General features: G+C 45.3%; 1 protein-coding gene across 11 annotated transcripts, besides 2 other annotated features; it reads right to left on the bottom strand.

The window, feature by feature from the left end:
- Positions 15 to 284: a silencer, noted in NCBI's record as "silent region_12593". NCBI's record gives its function as "represses an Ori minimal core promoter by ATAC-STARR-seq in GM12878 lymphoblastoid cells {active_cell/tissue: GM12878}" and the evidence as "EXISTENCE:reporter gene assay evidence [ECO:0000049][PMID:35858748]".
- On the bottom strand, positions 3826 to 24561 carry SIRPB2 (signal regulatory protein beta 2). 11 transcript variants are annotated; one of them, XR_007067453.1, is made up of 8 exons: positions 24416 to 24561; positions 13135 to 13206; positions 11407 to 11748; positions 10479 to 10544; positions 6933 to 7011; positions 6259 to 6401; positions 5856 to 6153; positions 3826 to 4273 (listed from the first exon to the last, which is right to left on the bottom strand). XR_007067453.1 is itself a non-coding variant. In XM_047440129.1 (5 exons), the coding sequence occupies exons 1-5, from the start codon at positions 24498 to 24500 to the stop codon at positions 7001 to 7003; spliced, it is 870 nt and encodes a 289-aa protein (XP_047296085.1). In that variant the 5' UTR covers positions 24501 to 24561; the 3' UTR covers positions 6586 to 7000. The 11 variants fall into 11 exon arrangements, 8 of the variants coding, with proteins under 8 accessions (XP_047296085.1, NP_001128308.1, NP_001116434.1 ...); XR_007067452.1 differs by having other exon boundaries at positions 3828 to 4273; positions 6259 to 6352; positions 12841 to 13206; XR_007067451.1 differs by having other exon boundaries at positions 3828 to 4273; positions 12841 to 13206.
- Positions 11340 to 12539: an enhancer, noted in NCBI's record as "BRD4-independent group 4 enhancer chr20:1458844-1460043 (GRCh37/hg19 assembly coordinates)". NCBI's record gives its function as "activates an origin of replication core promoter dependent on BRD2, P300/CBP, MED14 and CDK7 cofactors, and independent of BRD4, by STARR-seq in HCT116 cells {active_cell/tissue: HCT116}" and the evidence as "EXISTENCE:reporter gene assay evidence [ECO:0000049][PMID:35650434]".
- Positions 24562 to 24754: the final 193 nt, after the last annotated feature.

A 24754-nucleotide genomic window follows, 5' to 3' on the forward strand; every position in this document is an offset into this window, starting at 1 on the left:
CCGCCGCACAGGCCCAGCCCCGCTGCCGCGTTCCGCTTGCCGGTCGACGAGGCCCAGCCGATGAGGGCCCAGCAGCTGGGAGCCCGCCCGCAGCCCCGCCCCACGCGGTGCCTCACGCAAAGCCCTCCGTGCGGGAAGCCCCGCCGCTCCGCGCCCTCTGGCGACCGCGGCGCGAACCGCAGCCTAACGGCGGGGGTGGGAGCCCGAAGGATGAGAGGCGGGGCGGGTCTTACATACACCTGTGGGCTGAAGGCTCCCTGCAGGAGTCAGATTCCCAGTTATTCATTGACGCAGCCCTCATTTCATTAATTGTGCATTCGTTCATTCACTTACTTGTCAAGCATTTACTGAGAGCTATCAATGGCCCGACGTTTTTCTAGGGCTGTGGATATGGCAGGGAGCAAAACAAAGTCCCTGCTCCCATGCTTCTTACATTCTAGGGGTAAAAATTCAGACCTTGAACAGGCTAGGCCTCCGCTCACAACACGTCCATGCCTCGTTATCTCGCCCCGCATAAAAGACAGTCTCATGGCCTGCCTGCAGGACCCATGAGAGATGGGCCAGTTCCTCCCTCTCATCAAGGGATCCGCTAGCTTCCTCTGCTCCAGGCGCCTTGCCCTCCTTGCTGTTCCTGGAACTTGCCAGTTATCTTGCATTTGCCTCAGGGCCGTTGCATTAGCTGCTTCTGTGCCTGGAGCACCTTTCCCTTACCGATGGGCAAGGCGCTCTCCCCGCTTTCTTTGGGCCTCTGCTCCAAGGCCACTTTCTTAGGCACAATCCTGTCTTCTGGGTCCTCAGCTTCTTTGCCCTCTTGCCTCTCCAAAGAGGAACTTACTTGTTCAGCTTACTTGTTCTTTGTTCTCTATTTTCAAAGCCTAACTTCCTTGTTCTTTGTACCTCCTTACCCCTAGTTACGGTAAACAACCTTCCCGCGGGTCCTAATCTATAACTCACATCTGTTCCCTTGGATACCCTCGCTACAATTGCCATTCCCGCGGAAACTCTTCTTCCTGCCGAAACCGCTTGCCCTACCACTGTAGCCCACATTTCTGCTCCATTTGAACTAGCCAATCGGGATTAGCTTAGATTGCGCAGTCCAGCCCCAGCCAATGGGAACAGGACACAGAAGCAGCGACTAACCGCATTAGGGATAAAAACCCCTTCTCTCTTTTGTTCGGTGTGCTTTCCTGAAGACCAGATGTGTGAGTGGCACCCTTCTGCAGAAGTAAATTGGCTTTGCTGAAAAATCTTTTATTTCAGTGCTGGTTTTCCTTGAGACTTCGAGCTTTAATTTCCAACACCACCGTGGGACACTCTTCCCTTCCTCTTCCTCTGTCGGCCCCTGCTCATTCTTCAGCTCTCAGTTCAGGTGTCCCTTTCTCAAGGAGACCTTGAGAAGGTGCCCAGGCTTAGTCAAAACCCCTCTTAATCAGGTTATGAACAGCACAAAGTCCAGTCTTCCCTCAATTGACACAATAGTTGCTTTCCTGGAAAATTCGGTGTCTTATTAACACTGTGCAAGAAATCCTTTAAGTTTATATGACAAACGAGTTAGGGCTTGGGTTAGGTTATTAGGAGCATGGTTGCAGCCACAATAGGCCCTGGCAGGAGGCATGGGAGGAGGGTCCTTTCTTTGTGGTGTGAGACTCTCCTTTCTATTGCAAGGCCACCCAGGACCAGCCCCGGTCCCTAGGACTTACCCCTTTCATCATTGTGTCAACTCGAAATGCACCCCAACTTTCCAGGAAGTCCAAGAAGCTAGAGGCTCACTCTGGACCTCACGATTGGCAACCAGTAAGGTCTTTCTACCCTGGAAACTGACAACGACTAACCCCAGCTTAAAGATCTGCAGGCGATCAGCTCCTCAAGGTCCAGTTCCCTGGCTGGTATTGGAGTCATTGAAACTCATTGTCACCCCCCCTCTTCATTTTTGTGCCATCAGGGAAAGCTCTTTGTTCGGCCAGAGGGTCCCTGATCCCTCTTCTAGAGGACTTGAGGGCATCCTTTCCCATAACACTACCTGGCAGCTAGTGTTTACTGAGCACTTACTATGCCCCTAGACACTCTGCAAAGAGCCTTAGATACACTAACTCATGCACCCTATGAAGTGAGTTCTATTGTTATCATTTCCATTTTGCAGATGGGGAAACCTAGACTTCTAAAGAGTTTTGAATCCAGGTATGGCACAGCTCCTGAGTCTGCTTCTAACCGCTACACCACACTGTCTCTCCTTAGACTGCAGGACTGTGCTGGTCACTTCCTATGGCTGGTTTCTGGAAGCAGCTCCAGATGACCCAACTGGAGTTTAAGGCAGGGGATGTGAGGGCATGAACTTGAAACTACATTTACATAACACTTATCTAAGTGTCCTTAACAAAACTAGAGAAGGAGGTGCTGCAGGCTCAGCTTTAGCTCCACTCTCCTATGTCCAACCACACCAGCCCCCAACCTCCAGCCCCATCCCACCCAAGCCCCATCCCCAAATTCTACCACCACGACCACCTCCAGCCTCACCTCTACCTCACAGATCCGCCACCAGCACCTGACCCACCCCGCCCCACTTTCCCTTCTAACTCCACCCTCAGTACTAAATGCACCCCACCCTCCAAAGCCCACTTTCACTCCATTTCACCCCCAGCCCCCTCCGGGCTCATCTCCATCTTCCTTCCCACTCCAGTCTCACCCCAGCCCCTCCCTTTAATCCTATCTTCCACCACCTCCCGCCCCACCCCAGCCTTCCTTTGGCACCCCCTCTGCCGTGTCCTCACTGGTGGTGACTTCACTTTGGGCAGGAGCTGTGTGTACCCAGGACTGGTGTCTCCTCTGACCCCCTACTCCAGTCCCCTAAGCGCTAAACCCTCTATAGCTTAGGGGGCCAGGGGAGCTGCTAGGTGGAGCAAATGATTGATTTCTCAGCTGACATTCAGACCTTCCAGAGGCCCCTATACATGGAAGCTGCCGGTACCACTCACCCTTCTCTACTACCTCAGCCTCAGCACTGCCTTCTTCTACCACTCTTCTTCACAAAAGGTGACAGAGCGAGACTCTGTCTCAAAAAAAAATAATAATAATAATAACAACACTACCACTGCCTCAGCAAAGTTGGGACTATTTGTCTCTCTTTTCACAACATCTTCAACTAATGACAATAATAATAAAATAACAGTACTGCCAGCCGGTGACTAATGCTTGGTTGCATTAGTCAGCAGTGAGAACCAATGAAAACTGCAATGAGATTCCCTTTTGCCTTATCCAACTGGTAAAACATTTACAAGTCTGACTGTTAGAGTAGGCAGATAGCCAGAAATAAGCAGGCAAGGGAGCGTTTGGGAAAAGAAGTCCTGGAGACTCCATTCACTGACAGTCAGCGCCACCCACTGGCGGCCAGCAAAGAGACAATGGCTACACTGGCAACTTCTGGCCTTGTGGTTGGGCTCCTCTGGCCCTAAAGGGGACTTATGAGGCCTTACCCAGAGATAACCATGGTAGGGACTTTCCCACTGACGAGCATGTGCACTCCTCCAGTAACTCGCCCTACAGTAGCCTTTTGCTCATTATAATAACAAGCCGGGCACAGTGGCTCATGCCTGTAATCCCAGCACTTTGAGTGGCCGAGGTGGGCGGATGACGAAGTCAGGAATTTGAGATCAGCCTGGCCAATATGGTGAAACCCCGTCTCTACTAAAAAAATACAAAAATTAGCCAGGCATGGTGGTGCGTGCCTGTAGTCCCAGCTACTCAGGAAGCTGAGGCAGGAGAATCGCTGGAACCCGGAAGGCAGAGATTGCAGTGAACTGAGATCACACCACTGCACTCCAGCCTAGGTGACAGAGCGAGACTCTGTCTCAAAAAATAATAATAATAACAACAAAACACACCCCTGAGTGGAGATTTTAAATGCTAATGAGACAGGCAATGTGTTTACTAGCGCGTACAAACACACAACATTCACAGCCAGGGGGACCACCTAAAACATGATTGTAAGTGACGCTCCCTCATGCCCCTGCACGAATAATCATGTAAGATTCTCATAAAGAGGGTCCCCCAGCACCAGCTGCTGCTGGCTCGTTCTTTCAGAGTGTACTGTCTCTTTAAATAAACACTGCTACTGCTGTTTTTTGCCTGATGCTGTTTTCCAGCCAGGTCAGCCCACTCCTTTCTAGGAACGTACTTTATCTTTCTTCAATAAACTCTGCTACTTCACCTTTGCTGTGTGTCTCTTGGCTGAAATCTTTCTTCCAAGCAGACAAGAACTGAAGATTCCCGCACTTCCCTGTAATGTGACCATAGGAAATATTGGCATAAGCCTGAAACAACAGGAATTTTCCTGTGTCTAACAGCAGTATATGTTGGCTTAATGGCATTGGGGCATGATTTGGCCAATCTAGTGGAGTTGAAGAAGCACAGAACCTGTATAACCCTCCAGTTCTACTTGTGGGTGTGTGCACTTGTGCATGCATCAGGAGACACAGTGAAACTGTCTCTGTTTGGGATAGCGAGAAACTGGAACAACTAAGGTCTCCATCCATCAACAGAAATCACAAATGTAATATGTTAATACAATGGAATACTATACAGTTCTGAAGATGAATGAATTAGAGTTACAGGTAACCAACCTGGATATAACTCAAATGTTGAGTCAGAAAGCAAGGTTGAGAATGATCTGTGTAGCAAAGTGCCATTAATCAGTGCCATTTAGATAGAATTTAGAAATGTGCTTGACTAGGCCTGGCATTCCCCACTTTCTCAGGCCAATGACATGTAGCTGCTCTCTGGGCGGTGTGTCTTGTGGAGAGGACGGACTATTCTTGACCTGGCTGGCACCTCCTCTCACTGCACCCCGATACCGCCACCCCAATACTGCATGCAGCAGGGCTGCCATCCTTGGGTTGTCAGGTTATAGGAAGCCCCTGTCAAATGGTGTTTGCTCCTTTTCTTCCTCCAGCTCTAGGTCTAACCTGCAGGGGGAAATGGAGGGTCCTCGAGCCCGAGGAGAGTGGCGTGAATAGACCTATCTCTCACAGGGAGCAGTCACAAAGTCTGGGACTTTGGCAGCCTTGATGGGGGTTCCTTGGGGCAGGAAGAGCATGGGACAAGAACCATGGGAAGGGAAGGAAAGAGCTAAAGAAGAGCTGCAGGAAGGAGAAAACAGAAGGGGAGGGAGAGAAACGGATGCCCTGATTCAGGGATCTTGGAGTGTAGTCACTGACATCAAGGCATCAGATCTGAAGGCCCAGGCAGGACATGTAATAGTGGCCTGTTGGCCCTTAGTGGGGGCTGTGGCATGCCCCCTGCTCTGTCTTTGGTGGGTCATCTCACCTGTGCAATGCCTGGGGCCCCAAAGCAGCAGAAGGGCTGGGCTGAGGAGTTCTGTCTCCCATCCATTCCCCACCCTTTCTATCTGTGGTCAGCAGGTTTCCCAGAGTCCCCACGAAGGGCCTTAAATTGTTCATCTTTTGTTATATTTGTCTTCTTTAGTGGACTTGCCTCCACCTTGCTCCCCTGCCATGTCCCTATAAGTCCCTGGATCCAAGCAGGGCCAACTTTCTATAGGATTTTACAACTGAGTCTGTGGTGAGTAGGGTCATCTGACTTCTGAAGTTGCCCGATAAGGGGCCCAGGCACTGTAGGCTGCCATGCTCCTTGTCATGGGGAGGATAGTGACTACAGTTTATAGTTAGAATTGCATAACAATAGCCTAATGAAATAATGTAACTATAATAATTATTTAGGGCTTCTTATGTGCCAGGTGCTGCACATATACCAATGCATTTTAGCCTCAAAACTACCTAATAAGGGAGACACGCATGTTATTACCAGTTTATAGACAAGGAAACTGAGAGAAACAAACTCACCCAAGAGATAAGTAGGAGAACTGGAATTTGAACCTGCACAGCCAGATTTCCGAGACTGTGTGCTTCATCTCTGCCATGTATGTAGTTCAGGCGTTTACGGGGTCTAATACAGGCCAGGCATTCTGCTTGGTGTTTGCTGTTCTTGTGCAAGTCAAGCACGCTCCTGCCTCAGGACCTTTGCATTCGCTGTTCCTTGTACTTTTCAGCTCTTCCCCTGGGTATCTGCAGGGCTCTCTTCCTCACCTCCTTCAGGTGTCTGCTCAAATGTCACTTTATCAGGAGGCCTCTTCTGTCCACCCTGCATAAAATAGTGTCACTTCCCCTTTGCTCTGGCAACTTCCTTCCCCCTCCTCCTGCGTTGTGAAGGCCCTCAGCACTCAGTATAGTGGGGCCTGTTACTCACCTAGGGTTACTTGCTCATTGTCTGTCTTCTCTCGGGAGGAGGTAAGCTCTGAGAGAGCAGACTTCTGTTTCTTTCTCAGCACACTGATTAGGGCCTGGCACAGAGTCAGCTTTCAACCACGTTTCAGGATTCAATGAGGGTGGCTACAATAGTGGACCATTAGGTTCCTGTCCCCAGGGAGCTCAAATTCTAGTGGGGACAACTAACAACCATCAAGGAAGCAGATACACAAACACACACGCACACACAGACACGCACACATGCACACACGCACACACACGCACACACACGTGCACACGCAGGCACACAGATGCACACATGCATGCACACACACCCACATAGGTGCACACACACATGCATGTGCGCTCACACACACACACCACACACATGTTTTCAGGTAGCAGTAAGTACTATGAAGAAAACTTAAGTGGCAAGCAGGAATGAGAGTGATGGAGGTGCTTTTTTGGATAGAGTGGTCCAGAGAGGCCTTTAAAGGTAAGAGTTAAGCAGAGACTTGAATGAATCAGGGAGCTTTGTGTGGTCAAAGTCCAGAGGGGTGCTGGAGAAGAGTCAGCTTACAGGATCTGGGGAGATGAGGTCAGAGGGGGTGGCAGGGACCAGCTCATGCAGGGCCCTACAGGGCTAGGGGGCTTGCAAGGGCAGGTGGGACCCACCTCCAGTTAGTGGAGAACCACCTCCATGCTTTCCTGCTGTTTCAGCTTCCCGTGGCCGCTGTAACAGATCACTGCAAACCTGATAATTTAAAACAACAGAAATTTATTTTCTCATATTTCTGAAGTCCCGAAGTCTGAAATCAAGGTATTGGCAGGGCCACACTTCCTCCGGAGGCTCCAGGGGGAGAATTTCTTCCTTGATTCTTCCAGCTTCTGGTGGCTGCTGGCATTCCTTAACCTGTGGTCACATAGCTCCAAACTCTGCCTCTGTGGTCACATTGCTTTCTCTTCTACATCGAAGATCCATCCGTGTCTCTCTTGTAAGGATACTTAACATCTCTTTTAGGGCTCACTTAGATAATCCAGGGTAAACCCCCACCCCCATCTCAAGATTCTTAATTTAATCACACCTGTATAGTCTTGTTTTCTTTTTTCTTTTTATTTTTACTTTTGCCATACAAGGTAACAGTCAAAGGTTCCAGAGATTAGGACATGGATATCTTTGGGGTGGGGGTTAGTATTCAGCCTACCTTCCCTACCCTCTCTAATGTCTGGTAATTCAATAATTTATTCCATTCTCAGACTAAATTACTGTTGTCGCTGGCTTAGTTCAAGCTGTTTTTCTGTTTGTGGTAATGAAAAACATCTAGACTCATCTACTCGCCGCTATAGTGAGTGCTAATAAATGTTTGCCTGGAAAGAGAACAGGGAATTTACATGTATCGAGTGCATGCAGTGCACACAGCACATAGTAGGCCCTCAGTAAATGCAGAATTGAATTGGTTCTTTTTTTTTTTTTGAGACGGAGTTTTGCTCTTGTTGCCCAGGCTGGAGTGCAATGGCGCGATCTCAGCTCACTGCAGCCTCTGCCTCCCAGTTCAAGCGGTTCTCCTGCCCCATCCTCCCAAGTAGCTGGGATTACAGGTGCACACCACCACGCCTGGCTAATTTTTTGTATTTTTAGTAGAGACGAGGTTTCACCATGTTAGCCAGGCTGGTCTCAAACTCCTGAACTCAGGTGATCCACCCACCTCGGCCTCCCAAAGTGCTGGGATTACATGCATAAGCCACCGTGCCTGGTCTTGAATTGGTTCTTACACAATGCAGAGAAGTCCACATTAGTATCCTGGATGTTCCGTGATGGGAAGGGACTCTGATTAGTCACTGAGGGTGCACAGGGAGGAGGCAGAGGCCTCAGGGTTAAAGGCAGGTGTGTCTGACTCCTGGGCATGCACACTCTTCCCCATGTCAGGGCTTCTCAGTCCACTAGATGGTGGTAGCACCCCCCCAGGTTGTGCCAACCAAAAACATCTCTAGACATTGCCAAAAGTCCAGTGGGGGCAAAATCACTCATCTTGGGAACTACTGCCCCACATCATGCTGCCCCAGGGGAGGTGATAGTGGGAAGAAGTGCTGGCTAGCTAGCTGGGCATTGAACTCAGGTGTCCCACAGGGCAGGTGAGAGGCTGTCTGTATGCTGCTGTGGTGGAGATAACTGGTTATCCCCTGATATCTGCCATCTGGTTTCTCTAGTGAAAACTTGCAGCTGGGCGCATTGCTGCCAGAAATAAAGACTACATCTCCCAGTGTTTCTTGCAGCTAGGTGTGACCATGTGACCACATTCCAGCCAAGTAGAGATAAGTGAGGTGGCCAAGTTCCTGACTGTGCACTTAAAGGGGAGGGTCCTGCTCCCCTTTCCTGCCCTCTTTTCCAGTCTGGCTGCCTAGAAGGTGGACCTGGTAGCAATGAGATCAGTGAATCCTGGGTCTCAATACCAGGGAGTCTCTGTATTGCTTGGCCTGCTGATGGTCAACTTTCTGGTTGATTTCCACTGGTTTAAGCCACTGTTATTTAAGAGCTTTGTTATAGTTGCTGAACCTGCATTCTAATATTATACCTGCCCAAGCCAGCCATGAGGGGGATGGAAGGAAGGCAGGAAGGAGTGGGGAGAAAGGTGTAGATGGAGGGGCACAGATGGTCTGGCTGGTTGAGTTCAGAGATTCTTACAGACATCTCCTGGGAAGAAGACTCTGAGTTGGATGTTGGAGGCCAAGAAGGATGTAGCGAGGTGGGGAAAGGGGCAGGGCGCACCAGAAAGGGCTGCAGCAGGGGCAAGGGTGTTGAGGAGAGACTGAGCCAGGGACTGAAAAGCAAGGAGGTCTTGAACAGGCCAAAAAGAGAAAGGGAGACATTTTAGAGGGAAGCCCGGTGCAAAGAAGGGAATTTCACTAGGTGGACCAAAACCAGATGTAGGGATCTAGGAGTTTGTCATGAGGCCTGGGGGCACCTAGAGGCTGGGACTGGAGGTAGGGAAATGGTTGAGGAGCCCTGGCTCCTCTCCAACTCAGAGGGTCCTCACTCTGGGGCTGACCCCTCACTCTTGACCCTTGCTCCATGCTAAGGTGTTCATGGCTCCTGCTGGGCCTGTGGTCTTGACATCTTCTTGCCCAGGGCTCCTCCGAGAGGTAGCCAGGGCCAGTAGGAGTGCAGCCAAGGTAATTGCCTTCAGCCCCAGGACCACAGGTGCGAACACAACCAGGAGGCCTGGGAGGCACAGGAGAGAGCTCAGGCGGGACCCGTGGTGAGGGCCCCACAGCCCACGCCTCATTGCTGCCCATGGGCAAGGTCACATCCTGCTGCTGTATAACCTCTGGAGCTGTATCCTTTCTACATTGAAAGAGGAGATCAAAGACCACCCTTCCCTCTGCCCTGGGCCCAGAGAACGGTTGCCCAATATTCTGCCTGCATCTGTAATCATCTCAGTCACATCCCTAACCTCTGCTATTCCTAATTGCCTAATGCAATCCTCAAGGTAATCCTACAGTGTAGGATAGTGATCCAATTTTTATAGATAAGGAGACAGACCCAGAGTGGGGAAATGATTTTCTCAGGGCCACATGTGTTAAAGAAGTCACGGGACCCAGGCCGTCTGGCCCCCATGAATGGCAGGAGCAGGGCCGAGCATCAGGAAGGCAAATCTGACCACATCTATCACAAGCTCCCACCAGATACTGAGAGTCCTTGAATGTTAACATGAGATGTGCTAGGCACAGTTCTGGACACCTGGCATGTGTGATCTCCTTGAGTGCACACACAACCCCATGAAGTAGGGTCTCTGATTCTTGTCCCCTCCCCGCTAGTTCATAGAGTCAGATACCAGACTCAAGGGGCGAGAACCTGCCCATTACACTAGGAAGGGGCTCCATCCAGGAGGCTTAGCTACAAAGCCATGTTCTCCAGTGTCGCTGTGCATAGCCTCACAGTGTGTCCCTACACTCAGAATCACAGGGAGCTCACCACCTCTCAAACAACATTTCCCACTAAACAGTTACATGGCCCTGGCTATGAGAAAGTTCGTTATAGCTGAGCTGTTATAACATGGTTCTCTGGGGTCCTAGTTCTGCAGTTGAGATGAAGTCCTGGGAGCATTCTTGGTGGCAGGTTAGCCCCAGGAGTCTGGGACTGCTCCCTTCCCATGACCAAGCCATTCATGGCCCCCTTGCCTGTGGGGGACTCATTGACTCCACTGAGGTGGGTACGCTCACCTGTTGGAGACATCTCAGTTGCAGGTTCACTGGTGAATTCTGCCTCTTTGGAAGAGGTAGATTTTGCTGCAAGGGAGAGAGGCTTTGTCATACTTCCCTTTATCTTTATCTCCCACCACTTCCTAAGTCCCAGGAGCTGGGATCTCTGGGATGAGTCTGCCAGTTTCTATGTGGGTATGGGCTAGAAGTCAAACCCTGCAGCTATGAAGGACAAAGTTAGACTTTCTACTGGAGCACGTTTAGGGTATGGACCTGTCTAATTCATTGCAGTGTCTGCAGTACTTAGCATAGTGCAGGACACTCAACAGTCATGTAGTAGATGTTTGTTGAATTATTATTGTTACTATTATTTTTTGAGACGGAGTTTTGCTCTTGTTGCCCAGGCTGGAGTACAAGGGTGCGATCTTGGCTCACTGCAACCTCCGCCTCCCAGGTTCAAGAGACTCTCCTGCCTCAGCCTTCCAAGTATCTGGGATTACAGGCATGCACCACCACGCCTGACTAATTTTGTATTTTTATTACAGACGGGGTTTCACCGTGTTGGTCAGGCTGGTCTTGAACTCCTGACTCAGGTGATCCACCTGCCTTGGCCTCCCAAAGTGCTGGGATTACAAGAGTGAACTACGGTGCCTGGCCAATGTTTGTTGAATTATTAATGATCTATACAGAGTTCTGTGGAAACCAGAATGGGGAGAAATTAACTCTGCTTGAGAGGAGGAGAAGGTTTTACAGAGGAAGGGCCATTTGTGCTGGGCCTTGAAGGATGAGTAGGAGTTTTCAGAGAAAAGGAGAAAGCATTCCAGGTAGAGGGAAAAACTTATGTAAAGACATGGAGGCTGTGAAGAACTGGCTTGTTCGGGACATGTAGAAAAATTCCTGTTGAATACCTGCTCCGCTCTCCCGACAAGTCCAAAACCAATTGTCTCACCTTTCACTTTCAGGCTGGTGCCCTGTCCAGACAGGTATTGCCTGTTGGGTTTCCTCTGAAACTTTACACAGTAATAGGTGCCTGCATCCTCACTGGAGACGTTTTGCAGAAGAATGCTGAAGTCATTGTTGGAGGCCTGCACCGCTGTCTCCTTGGGGTGGGAGATGCCTCCAAAGTTGTAAATGGCCTCCCGGCTCAGACCAGCTCCCTGGAACCACCTGATGGGTCCAGGGGGACCGTCTCCAAGCACTGTGCAGTTCAGAAAGACAGTGTCTCCAGTGGTCCCCAACACCAATTCCTGGGGCTGGATGATCCACAGGTCTGGTTCAGGGTCCCCAGCTCCTGAAGCCAAAGAGGAGGTCCTTGTTGAATTCCCTCTCCTCTTCCATCGTTCACTCATTTCCTACCTGGTGTTTTCCCTCCCTTCCTTCTTTCCAGATTTCTTCACTCAGCCACTCCTTCCTGCTTTCTTTATTACTCACCAGTTGACTCATTCAGTAAAAAAGCTCTGAGTACCTACTACATACCAATGGTAGGATTGGGGAACATGAAACTCAGGAAGACACAAGTGCCCGGCCCTGAAGCCATTCTCTGTCTTCCAGTGGAGATGGTCAAAAAATTGCCCAGAGGCGGAAACCCAGAAGATGGCAGGACTACAGAGGAGGCACCATCATAGCTCGGAAGAAGCCAGTGAAGCCTTCCTGAATCTGGCATCAAGTTAAAATGAACTCCCACGTACAGATACTCTCCATGTCACCAGTTTATGGGGTGTTTCCACAAGCATCCATTCTATTTAATCACCCGAATGACCCTTGAAGTACAAATTGTTTTGCCTGTTTTTCAAGCAAAGCACTTGAGGCATGTAGAGCCAGGGTAACTGACTTAAGAAGGAACTACTATTCAATGACAGGCCCAGGATTTGGGTATTCAGGTCACCATAGGTGGACTTACAGATGCCATGATTGAGTACTTGGGGAGTGTGGTAGATGACATGATCAGCCTCAGGTTTTGACTCTGTGCTTGTAATAGGGTACATCCACACTCTTACCTTTGGTGCATGGTGGAAGACTATTCTTCCTTGTCCCTTGACTTGGAGCTGAGCCATGTGACTTGCTTTAGCCAGTGGGCTGTTAGCAGACATAATGTGAGTAGATGCTTGAGGTGTACTTGAAGAGTTGGGACTGGGCTTCTGCTTCTGCCATCTTTATGAGAAAACATGCCCCACATAGTTGCTACCTCTCCAGCCTGGGCTCTGGCATGAGACATGAGGAGTGGAACCACCCAGCCACATGTAAATGTGCATGTAGAGATACAAATATGTATTGTTGTATGCCACTGAAATTTTGTGTGATACAGCATGATACAGTGGATAAAGGTGACTGTGCAGGGAAACAGACTGGAGCAAATGTGTGGTCTGCAGGGCCTGATCCTTACCCTTCACAAGCACTGAGGTGCCTTCATCCGATTTCATTTCTGAGTGTTCACTCAAACCATCAAACCTCACACAGTGGTAGGTTCCAGTGTGCTCCCTGGTGACATTGTGGATATAGATGGAATAATCACAATTCAGTGGTTCTGATGTCCGTTGGATCATGGGCATTACCCCAGGGAAGGAGCCACGTTTAAAGTTATAAATTTCCTGTTGGTCCTGAGTGCTCACCTTCACCCATTTTATCATACCATCAGTGCAGGAGCCGACCACCATACACCTCAGTAGAAGTGTCTCACCTTCTGCCACCAGCATGGGGCCCTCGGGCTGTAGCACCTGCCAGTCATTCCTGCTGCTCTGCCCAGAGGCATCTACAAAAGAGGAAGAAAGACCTTGCACTGGGCAGGAAGGACTTGGAGCCCTAAATGACAAGCTTAAAACAATCAAACCATTATCTGGCCAAGAACAATGGCCCAGGATAAGACAGGAGTGTCATTAGACAGGGAAGGGAAAGAGGGGATGAGATGGCTGGCTGCAGAGAGAGAACTGAGCTATGCAATGGCAAACCTACAAACAATAAATAACACTCAAGTGCTCACCGTGTGCTGGGCCCTGCGTGCATGATGTCACTTATTCTTCACAATGCTTCTGTAAGGTAAATGGCATCATTCCCATTTTTTGACAGAGGAAACTGAGGGTCCGGAAAGGTTAGGCAGCTGTCCCAGGATCATCGGCTAGGATTGTGTCTCCCGAATGCACATGTTGATGTCCTAACCTCCAGTTCCTCAGAATGTGATGTATTTGGAGATAGGGTCTTTAAGGAGGTAATTCAGTTAAAATGAGGTCATTGGGGTTGGGCCTTAATCTCACCCAACTGGTGTCCTTATAAGGAGAGGAAATTTAAACATACGCATGCAGGGGGAAGACCATGTGAAGATACAGGGAGAAGGTGGCCGTCTATAGGCTGAGGAGAGGCGCCTCAGACAAACCAGCCCTGCAGACATCTTGATCTCAGTTTCCAGCCTCCAGAATTGTGAGAAATTACATTTCTATTGTTCAAGCCGCCCAGGCCATGCTACTTTGTTATGGAAGCTCTGGCACACTCAGACATCACTCAGTAAGAGGGTGACAGGCTTGATTCAAGCCCTCTCAACCTGTTTCTGGAGCTCTGGCTATTAATCTTCAAATGCCACCCTTCAGAGACATAGGTTTGTGTGTTGCGGGGTTCAGTGTAAATACCCTTTCTGCCTCATGTGAATTATCAGCAGACTGCAGTTCGTGTTAATGTGTTATGAAGTGAGGCTATTTTGAAGATAGGTTGAACTGTTGAGTTTATCCTCAAAGTGGATACAGAGAAAGAGGGCTGAGGCCTCCCATGGATATTCTGGGTAACAAACATCATCACATGTATTCCTTCTAAGAATTCTGTGAGGTAGATGCTGTTATAATCTCAATTTTAAAAACTTCCCCATTTATTATTTATTTATTTTTTAATTTTTTTTGTAGTGATGGGGTCTCACTATGGTGCCCAGGCTGGTCTCAAACTCCTGTGCTCAAGTGATTCCTTCCCCTTGGCTTCCCAAAGTGCTGGGATTACAGGTGTGAGCCACCATGCCCAGCCTATAATCTCCATTTTCGAGATGAGAAAGAAAACGAATGCTCACAGTGGTAAAGAAACATGAGGTGAACCATGCATTCAGTAGATATCGTGTCCAGGATTTGAACTCAGATCAGGTGACTTAAGATTCTGCTCAACTCAAGGTCAGCAGCTTTGTACCCCGAGTTTCCTTTTTGTCTGTATTCCCATCAGCCTTTGTGAATAGCTCAGTCTCACTCCACACATTTGTTTGCAGTATATCATGGTGTTTCTCAGTTGTGAATGAGGCAAGGAGAGTAAGAAGGTGAAGCAAACATTTCCTTCTAAGAGGGTCTAGGAAAGACTTATGGAATTCTAAATTCTATTTCTACCTATCTTCAGCTAGGCATGTGCTGTTAACCACCAAGAATAACTTTCTCACAATTGTGACCAAGTGATAACCGCATGTTGAATCCTAGGGATTGCTTCTGTCCTTGATGTCCTTAGTTCCAAGAAATTCAGCGACATCCACTCTCAAACATTATTTGAGCTAGTCAGATCTGTTATCACTGATCCTTCCTGTTTTTTTCCCTGGCCTCAGGGAGTTTCCTCACACACACGTACAGGACTGTGCCCATCACTCAGCACAGGGCTAAGAATGGTGCCTGTTCCCACCAGCCAAACTGGTAAAACCCATGATTGTCAGGGCACTGGGGAAAGTCCACAGAAGAGAGATGCAGCCCAGAAAGAAGTGTTCTGGTCCACCCAACAAATCTTAAAAGCAAGGCCCCAAACTGATTTTAAAAAAAAATAACATTCTATTGTGAGGCTTCTAACACATGTATATGTAGAAGTTATGACATCGATAGAATAAAGACTGGGAGTGGAGAAATGTGAGTTTACTACTGTAAGTTTCTTTTTTTTCTGGTATCCATCACCTGAGTATTTATTATTTCTATGTGTTGGGTACATTGCAGGTCCTCTTTCCTAGCTGTTCTGAAAAACAATACATTGTTGTGAATTATAGTCACCCTACTCTGCTATCAAACATTAAAATTTGTTCCTTTTATCTAACTGTGTGTTTGTACCCATTCACCAACCTCACTCTTAACCCCTCTCCCTGAGACCCATCACCTTTCCTAGTCTTTGGTATCTATCATTATAGTTTCTACTTCCGTGAGATCATTTTTAGCACCTGCATAGTTGTCTTTCTGTGTCTGGCTCACTCCTTCCTTCCTTCCCTCCTTCCTTCCTTTCTTTCTTCCTTTCTTCCTTCCTTCCTTCCTTCCTCTCTCTCTTTCTCCTTCCCTCCCTCCCTCCCTCCCTTCCTTCTTTCCTTCTTTTTGGAGTGCAATGGCACTATCTCGGCTCACTGCAACCTCCGCCTCCCAGGTTCAAGCAGTTCTCCCACCTCAGCCTCCTGAGTACAGCTTACTTCACTTAACATAATAATCTCCAGTTCCATCCGTGTTGCTGTGAATGACTACATGATTTCATTATTTTTTTTTCACGGTTGAATAGTATTCCATTGTGGGTGTGCTTGGGGACACTATATATATGTATTTTTTTTATCAATTCATCCATTGATTGACGCTTAGATTGATTCCATACATTTGCAATTGTGAATATTGCTGCAATAAACGTAGAAATGCATGCACTCCTTTGATATATTGATTTCTTTTCCTGTAGATAAATACCTGTTCTAGGATTGCTGGATCATATGGCAGTTCTATTTTTAGATTTTTGAGAAATCTCCATACTGTTTTCCATAGTGGCTGTACTAATTTACATTCCCACCAATAGTGTATAAGAGTTCCCTTTTCTCCTCATCCTCATCATTTTTTTTTTTTTTTTGAGAGGGAGTCTTGCTCTGTCACCCAGGCTCGAGTGCAGTGGCACCATCTCAGCTCACTGCAACCTCCGCCTCCTGGGGTCAAGTGATTCTCCTGCCTCAGGCTCCTGAGTAGCTGGGATTACAGGCACATGACACTACACTTGGCTAATGTTTGTATTTTTAGTAGGGACAGAATTTCACCATGTTGGTCAGGCTGGTCTCGAACCCCTGACCTCAGGTGATCTGCCCACCTCAGCCTCCCATAGTGCTGGGATTACAGGCACGAGCCACAGCACCTGGCCTTTTTTTGGGTCTTTTTAACAATAGCCATTCTAACTGGGATAAGACGATATCTCATTATGGTTTTGATTTGCATTTCCCTGATGAGTGATGTTGAGCATATTTTTTCATATACCTCTAGGCCATTTGTATGTCTTCTTTGGGAAATGTTTATTCATTCCTTTCCTTTGCTCATTTTTAATTAGATTATTTATTTGTTTGTTTGCTTTTTTAACTGTTGAATTGTTTGAGTTCCTTGTATATTCCAGATATTAGTCCCTTGTCAAATGGGTACTTTGTGAATATTATCTCTCATTCAGGAGGTTGTCTCTTCACTCTTTTGATTATTTTTCTGCAGTGCAGAAGCTTTTTAGTTTAATATAGTCCCATTTGTCTTTTTTTTGCCTTTGTTGCCTGTCTTTCGAAGTCTTAGCCACAAAACCTTTGCCTAGAGCAATGTCTTGGAGTGTTTTCTGATTTCTTTGTATTGTTTTTCAGAATTATCTTGTATCTTACTGATCTTCCTTAGTATCGATATTTTGTGTTCTTTTTCTGGGATTTTGTAAATTTCTTCTTGATTGGGATGTGTATTGGTATAATAGACCAAGGGCATAGAATACATAGACCAATGGTATAATAGACCAATGGCACAGAATAGAAAACACAGAAATAAATCCATGTATTTACAGCCAATTGATTTTTGGCAAAGGTATCAAGAATACACATTCAATAAATGGTGCTGGAAAAACTGGATATCCATATGCAGAAGAATAAAGGTAGACTGCTATTTCTCACCATATACCAAAATCAACTAAAGATGAATTAAAGATCTAACTGTAGGACCTAAAACTATAAAAACTACTAGGAGAAAACAGGGAAGGGACTCCAGGACACTGGTATAGGTAAAGATTTTATGACTAAGACCTCAAAAGGGTCAGGCAACTAAGACAAAAATAGACAAATGGGACTATATTAAACTAAAAAGCTTCTTCATAACAAAAGCAACTATCAACACAGTGAAGAGACAAACTCTTGAATGAGAGAAAATATTTGCAAAGTACTCACCTGACAGGGGACTAATCTAATATCCAAAATATACAGGAAACTCAAACAACTCAACAGTTAAAAAAAATCTCATTAAAAAGTGGGCAAAGGACATGAATCAACATCTCTCAAAAGAAGACATACAAATGGCCAACAGGCACATGAAAAAATGCTCAACATTACTAATCATCGGGGAAATGCAAATCAAAACCACAATGAGATATCATCTTACCCCAGTTGGAACGACTGTTAAAAAGGCAACAATAAAAAAAAAAAACAAAATAAATAAACAAACCACCACAAATATATGCTGGTAAGGTTGCAAAGAAAAGGAAACTTTATACATGGTTGGTGGGAATGTAAATTAGTACAGCCACTATGAAAAACAGTATGGAGACTTCTCAACAAACTAAAAATAGAAATGCCATATCACCCAGCAATACCACTACTGGATGGCCAGTATGGAATACTATTTGGCTATAAAAACAAATGAAATTCTGTCATTCGTAGCAACATGAATGAAGATGGAGTTCATTATGTTAAGTGAAATAAGCCAGGCACAGAAAGACAAACATCACATGTTTTCACTCATACGTGGAAGCTAAAAAAATTGATCTCATGAAAGCAGAGGGTAGAATGATACCAGACGTGGGGAAAAGTGAGTGTAGGGAGAGGGGCATGAGAGAGATTTGTTAATGGGTACAAACATACAGTTAGATAGAAGGAATAAGATCCTGCCATTTGATATCAGAGTATGGTAACTGTAGTTAACAACAATGTATTGTAGATTTCAAAATAGCTTGAAGAGAGGACTTAAAATGTTCCTAACACAGATAAATGAAAAATACATGAGGTGATGGATATCCTAAATACTTTGACTCATTTATTACACATCCTATGCATGGAACAAAGTATTACATGAACCCCATAAATATGTACAAATGTTATGTATCGATTAAAAAAGAAAAATTGGAAAATATTTTGAACTGAAGGAAAATGAAAACATAATATAAAAATTTGCGGGATTCTGTTAAAGCAAGGGGAAGTTTGTAGTATTAAATGCCTATATTTGGAAAGAAGAAAGGACTCAAATAAATTACCCACTTTCCACCTTAAGAAACTAGAAAAAAAGGCCAATAAACTAAACTCAAAGTAGTGAAAGAAAGGAAATCATCAAGCTGGAAATGAAACTTAATACAGTAGAACACACACACACACACACACACCACACACACACACACACACAGAAAAAATCAATGAGAAGAAGAAAATCTTTGAGAAGATCACTAAAACTGATAAATCTCTAGTCAGATTGAACAGAGGGGACACACACAGAAAGAACCTAAATTATTAAAATAAGGAATAAGATTGGTGATACTACTACAGATTTTACTCTTATTAATAGAATAATAAAAGAATATTATGGAAAACTTCAAGTCATACATATTTGACAAATTAGGTAACATGAACAAATTCCTTGAAAAAGATACACTGCCAAAGCTTTCTCAAGAAGAAAAAGACAACCTGGTTAGCCCTATTATCTATTAAAAAGTTCAATCTGTTATTAAAAATCTTCCCAGAAATAAAGGTCCAATCCAAGAAAGTTTCATTTGTGAATTTTCCATATCTTTTTCTTTTCTTTTCTTTTCTTTTTTTTTTTTTTGAGACAGGGCCTCACTCTGTCACCCAGGCTGGAATATGGTGGCGTGATCTCAGCTCACTCCAACCTCTGCCTCCCAGGTTCAAGCGATTCTCCTGCCTCAGCCTCCTGAGTAGCTGAGATTACAGGCATGCACCACCATGCCCGGCTAATTTTTATATTTTTGGTAGAGGCAGGGTTTCGCCATGTTAGCCAGGCTGGTCTTGAACTCCTGGCCTCAAGTGATTCGCCTGCCTCAGCCTCCAAAACTGCTGGGATTGCAGGCATGAGTCACCATGCCCAGCCAAATTTTCCATATCTTTAAGAAAGAGATAATACCAATTTTATACAAATACTTTTAGAAAATTGAAAAAAGGAGCATACTTTTCTAATTATTCTATGAGTCCCAGTGTTATCTTGAAACCGAAGCCTTTTCCTTTCGAGAAAGGAAAATCAATATCTCTCATGAACATAGATAAAAAATTTTACACAAAATTTTAGTAAACCGAATTCAGCAATCAGCAATATTTAGAAAGTATAATACATTATAATCAAATTGAGCTTATCCCTGGAATATAAAGTTGGTTTAACATTCAAAAATCAATCAATGTAATTTACCATATTACTAAACTAACACACACACACACGCATATACATGCACTCATATAATCATCTCAACAGAATGCAGAAAAAGCAGTTTTCAAACTTGAACATGCATTCCTAATAATAACTCTCAGCAAACTGGGAAGACAAGGAAGGTTTTTCAAGTTGATAAGGGGCACCTGTGAAAACCCTACAACAACTCTATCAAGCTTAGTGGTGCAAAAATCAATGTTTTCCCTGCAGATCAGGAACTAGACAAAGATGCCTGTTTTTACTATTTCTATTCAATTTTGTAGGATAGGTACTAACTGTGAAAAAGGTAGTAGGAAATAAAAGACATCCAGATTTGAAAGAAAAAAGAAAACTGTCTTTATGTGCATATGACATAATTAAAATTTAAATGAAAATTTCTTAAAAAGGCTACTAGACCTAATAAATGAGCTTAGCAAGGTGGACGATAAAAGATCAATGTACAAAATTATATGTATTACTATACACTAGCAATAAACCACTTGAAATTGGAATTTTAAAATTTCCAGTCATCAATGTTATAAAAATAGAAAATATTTAGCCAAAAATGTAAAGGAACTGCAAACTGAAAATGTATAAGCCATTGCTAAGATAAAAAAAATCAAGCCTAAATAAATAGAGAGGTACACACTGTTCATATGTTGGAAGATTCAATATTGCTTAGATGTCAATTCTTCTCAAGTTGATATATAAACTCAATGCCATTCCCATTCAAATCCTAGCAGGCTTCACTTTAGCATTGATAAACTAAATCTAAAATTTATAGAATAGCCAAAACCATTTGAAAAAGAATAAAGTTAGAAAACTAATACCACCTGCTTTCAAGACTTAGATAATGTTACAGTAATCAAGACAATGTGGTATTGCACAAAGATAGATAAACATATCAGTGGAACTGAATAGAGAGTCTAGAAATAGTCCATGCAAATAGAGGCAACTGATTTTTTAAAAAGAGATGAGGTCTCGCTATGTTTTCCAGGCTGGAGTGCAGTGCTATTTTGGGTGTGATCGTCATAGCACACTGCAGCCTCAAACTGCTAGTCTCAAGCAATCCTCCTGAGTAGCTAGGAGTACAGGTGCATGCCATGGCTCCTAACTATAATTATTTGATATTTGACAAAGGTGCAAAGACAATTCAATGGAGAATGGGGAGTTTTTTCAACAATGGTGCAAGAACCATTGGAAATACATGTGCAAACAAATGAACTTTGGTTTATATCTCAAACTATATAAAAATTAACTCAAAATAGATCATATAACTAAACATAAAATGTTAAACGATACAACTTCTAGCTGCAAACATGGAAAAAAACTTTGTAACTTTGGGTTAGGCAAAGATTTCTTAGATGTAACACCAAAATCATGATCCATTAAAGACAAATTGATGAATTGGACTTCATAAAAATTAAGAACTCCTGCTGTTCGGAAAACACTTGTAAAAGAATAAAAAGACAAGTCACAGAGTAGGAGAAAAATCTTTGCAAAGCATATATCTGGCAAAATATTTGTATCCATAATATATAACGAACTCTCAAAACTCAATAATAAGAAACACACTTAAAAAATGAGAGTCGAATAGACACTTCACCAAAAAGGATGCATGATGTAAAAAATGTTCAGCATCATTACATATTAGGGAGTTAAAATCACAGTGAGAGGTTGGTAATCCTAGGACTTCGGGAGGCTGAGGCAGGCGGATCACTGGATCCCAGGAGTTCAAGACCAGCCTGGGCAATATGGTGAAATTTTGTCTCTACCAAAACAAAAAAACTAACCAACCAACCAGACAACCACAAAAATTAGCTGGGTGTAGTGATGTGCGCTTGTAGTCACAGTTATTTGGTAGGCTAAGGTGGGAGGATCGCTTGAGCCAGGGAGATGGAGGTTGCAGTGAGCTGAGATCAAGCCATTGCACTCCAGCCTGGGCAACAGAGTGAGACCCTGTCTCAAAAAAAAAAAATCACAGTAAGATATTACTATGTACCCATTAGAATGACTAAAATTAAAAAGATTGACCATAATAAGTGTTGGTGAGGAGGTGTAGGAACTGCCATCCTCCTACATTGCTGATGAGAATGTAAAATGGTACAACTCCTTTGAAAAACACTTTGGCAGTGTCTGAAAAAGTTAAACGTATGGCAACCATATGATCCATTTTATTCTCAGATATTTCCCTAAGAGAAATGAAAGTATATATCCACACAAAGACTTGTACATGAATATTCATAGATGCTTTATTTATAATAGCCCTAAACTGCAAACAACCCAAATGTCTGTCTACAGGTGAATGGGAAAGGGTTTATCCATACAATGGATAGACATGAGAAGAAATGAACTATTGACATATGCAACAACATGAATGAATCTCAAAATAATTATGCGGAGTAAAAGAAGCCAGCCAAAAAGGAGTATAACTGTGTGATCCTTATTATATACAATTCTAGAAAATGCAAACTATAGTGACAGAATACAGATCCGTGGTTGTTTTGGAGACAAGGAGGAGTGGCAAGGACGAATCACAAGGAAACTTTTGGGCGCTGGATATGTTCATGATGCTGATTTTGGTGATGATTTCACAAGTGTGAAATACACCCAGCACTCACAAAAAAAACTTATCAAATTGTGTACTTTACATATGTACGGTTTAATATATGTCACTTACACTTCAATAGAGCTGTTAAAAATAAATTATTTGTAAAGATGAAGCCTGCGTGTGTGAGGAGAAAGAAGCAATGGAGGAGAGGAAGAAGGAAGCACTCAGAAAGTCTTATCTCAGCTAGGGGTGAGTCTGGGGAAGTGAACACCAGGGAAGAAGCTGGAGCCTGGACTCAGTCCTGGTGCCCACACCCCTTCCCTCCCTCTCCCCTTCTGAGTCCCCTTCTGTGTTGTCACTTGGGCTTTAGGAGGTGTCCTAGGAGGTTTGCCTCTGCCTTGTCAGTGGAGCTGGACCTTCTCATCTATTTTCCATCTGCATCCTCTGCCTTTCATGGTTCCTGTATGGGGCTCCCTTTAAAAGCCTTATAGAAAATGTGTTAGCCCCAGTCTCCTCTACTGCAAAATAGGGGCACTCATATTTTTCTCGGGGCTGCTGTGAGTATTAAATAGAGAAGTGGTGAGGCTCAATCCTGGGCCAGCTACGTAATTTGTGAGGCCAAGTGCAAAACGGGAATGCAGGTCCCTTGTTCAAAAACTATTGAGCAACACAGCAGAACATTAAACCAAGCATGGGGCCCTTCTAAGCAGGAGGCTCTGTGCCACTATATAGAGGGCACACCCAAGAACCAGCCCTGACTCAGCTTGAGATGCAGCTGGACTCAAACATTCCAACTGACTGGTTTAAGCAACTTCTCTTATTTTCCATCTATTCTATTGCAACAATCATTGGGAATATTTTTTATTCTGAGTAGTTTAGATTTCTGATTTCCTAGTCTAGTGCCTAAAACATAGCAGACACTCAAAAGTACCTGTGGAATGAGACCTAGCAATTATGATTCACATCTTAGAATTGAGGAAATCAGCTTAGAGAATTGAAGTGGTGTCTTGAGTCATACGGCCAATGAGTAAGGGAGCACCTAGGTCCGACCCCACACCTGGGTTCTGCCAGGATCTCTCCTGGGGATGGCCACCCCGGAGGACCAAAGATGTCATGGACAGAATCTAGATCTCAGTAGAGCCTGGAGCAGAGGCCCAGATGGGCAGGAGATGGAATGAGCCCACTGAGAGCCAAGTATCCCTGCCTGGTAGATCAGAGAGTTCTGGACTCAGAGGCTGAGCTATATATTCAGGGGTCTCAAGACTCTGGAGCTAACCTGGCCTGCCCCTGAGTTAGAGGAAACATGGGAATGATAATAATAATCGCCAAGAGTTATCAAATCTTTGTTATGCCAGGCACTTATGGGTATTATCTTGTTAAATTCTCCTAAGAAAGTCCCAAGGTGGGTCCTATTTTTAGCTCCATTTTACAGTTGGAAAAACTGAGGCTCAGAAAGAAATTACTTAAACTGGTTAGTGGTGAGGTTTGAGCCTACTGCGTCTTAAGCTGAGCCAGGGCTGGTTCATGGCTGTGCCATCTATGTAGTCGCACAGGGCCCTGTGCTTAGAAGGAGCCCATGCTTGGTTTACTGCTCTGCTGTGTTGCTCAATACTTTTTGAACAAAAGACCGCAGTTTTCATTTTGCAGTGGGTCTCATAAACTATGCAGCCGGCCCAGGGCTGAGCCTCACCACTTTTCTATTTAATACTCACAGTAGCCCTAGAGAAAGGTCCCATGAGCGTCCCTGTTTTGTAGAAGAGGCTCCTGGGGCTAAAAGAGCTGCAGCATCTGACGTGGGCATAGGAGCAATCAAGCTGGAAGCCAGTGGGTGTGAGCGCAGAGCCTGGGAGCTTATCACTTCACTACGCTGCTTCTTGGGACACTGGGGGTGCCCTCTGCCGGAGTCAGGCAAATTTTCAGTGGACCCCTCTTTACTCTATCTTCATGGGGTCAAGCTTCTTCAGGCATGGCAGAGCACTTAGTGCCCCTCTAGGGACTGACCAGCCGGGGGTGGACCCTGTTCTATCCTAGACCCCACTTACCTGAGGGGACAAGGACCAGTGCCAGCAGCAGGAAGCAGGGAGGCAAGTGGGCCAGGCAGGTGGGGGCCGACATCGTGGAGCACATGGCATCTTCTGTGGTCCCCAAGACTTGGGGCTCCTCTGCTCTCTTGTGAGTGTTGGAGTCTGAGGCGGGGCCCGTGGACAAGGCAGTTTCTGCGTCTCTTGGCCACAGCTGCTTGGGGAAGTGTTTTCATTGCAGCAACACAAGGCTGTTGGTGCAATAGGAAGGAGCCCGGTCAAAGGGTTTCCTGCTTTTGTGTCTGGGCTGTGATTCCTGTAGTCACTGTGCTAAAACCTTGCCATAGGCTCCATCCTAGG

The sequence above is a fragment of the Homo sapiens genome, chromosome 20 (genome assembly GCF_000001405.40).
Source record: "Homo sapiens chromosome 20, GRCh38.p14 Primary Assembly".
Classification (NCBI taxonomy): Eukaryota; Metazoa; Chordata; class Mammalia; order Primates; family Hominidae; genus Homo; species Homo sapiens.

What these genes read in the sequence shown, in the direction of transcription:
- SIRPB2 (XM_047440127.1), bottom strand. Translation starts at nt 24,500, where the DNA reads ATGTGCTCCACGATGTCGGCCCCCACCTGCCTGGCCCACTTGCCTCCC. An exon ending in ACTGGTCCTTGTCCCCTCAG is followed by an intron (nt 13,207 to 24,415) that starts GTAAGTGGGGTC and finishes CCTCTTTTGTAG; the next exon opens with ATGCCTCTGGGCAGAGCAGC. An exon ending in CACCTCAGTGCTTGTGAAGG is followed by an intron (nt 11,749 to 12,840) that starts GTAAGGATCAGG and finishes CTTTGGCTTCAG; the next exon opens with GAGCTGGGGACCCTGAACCA.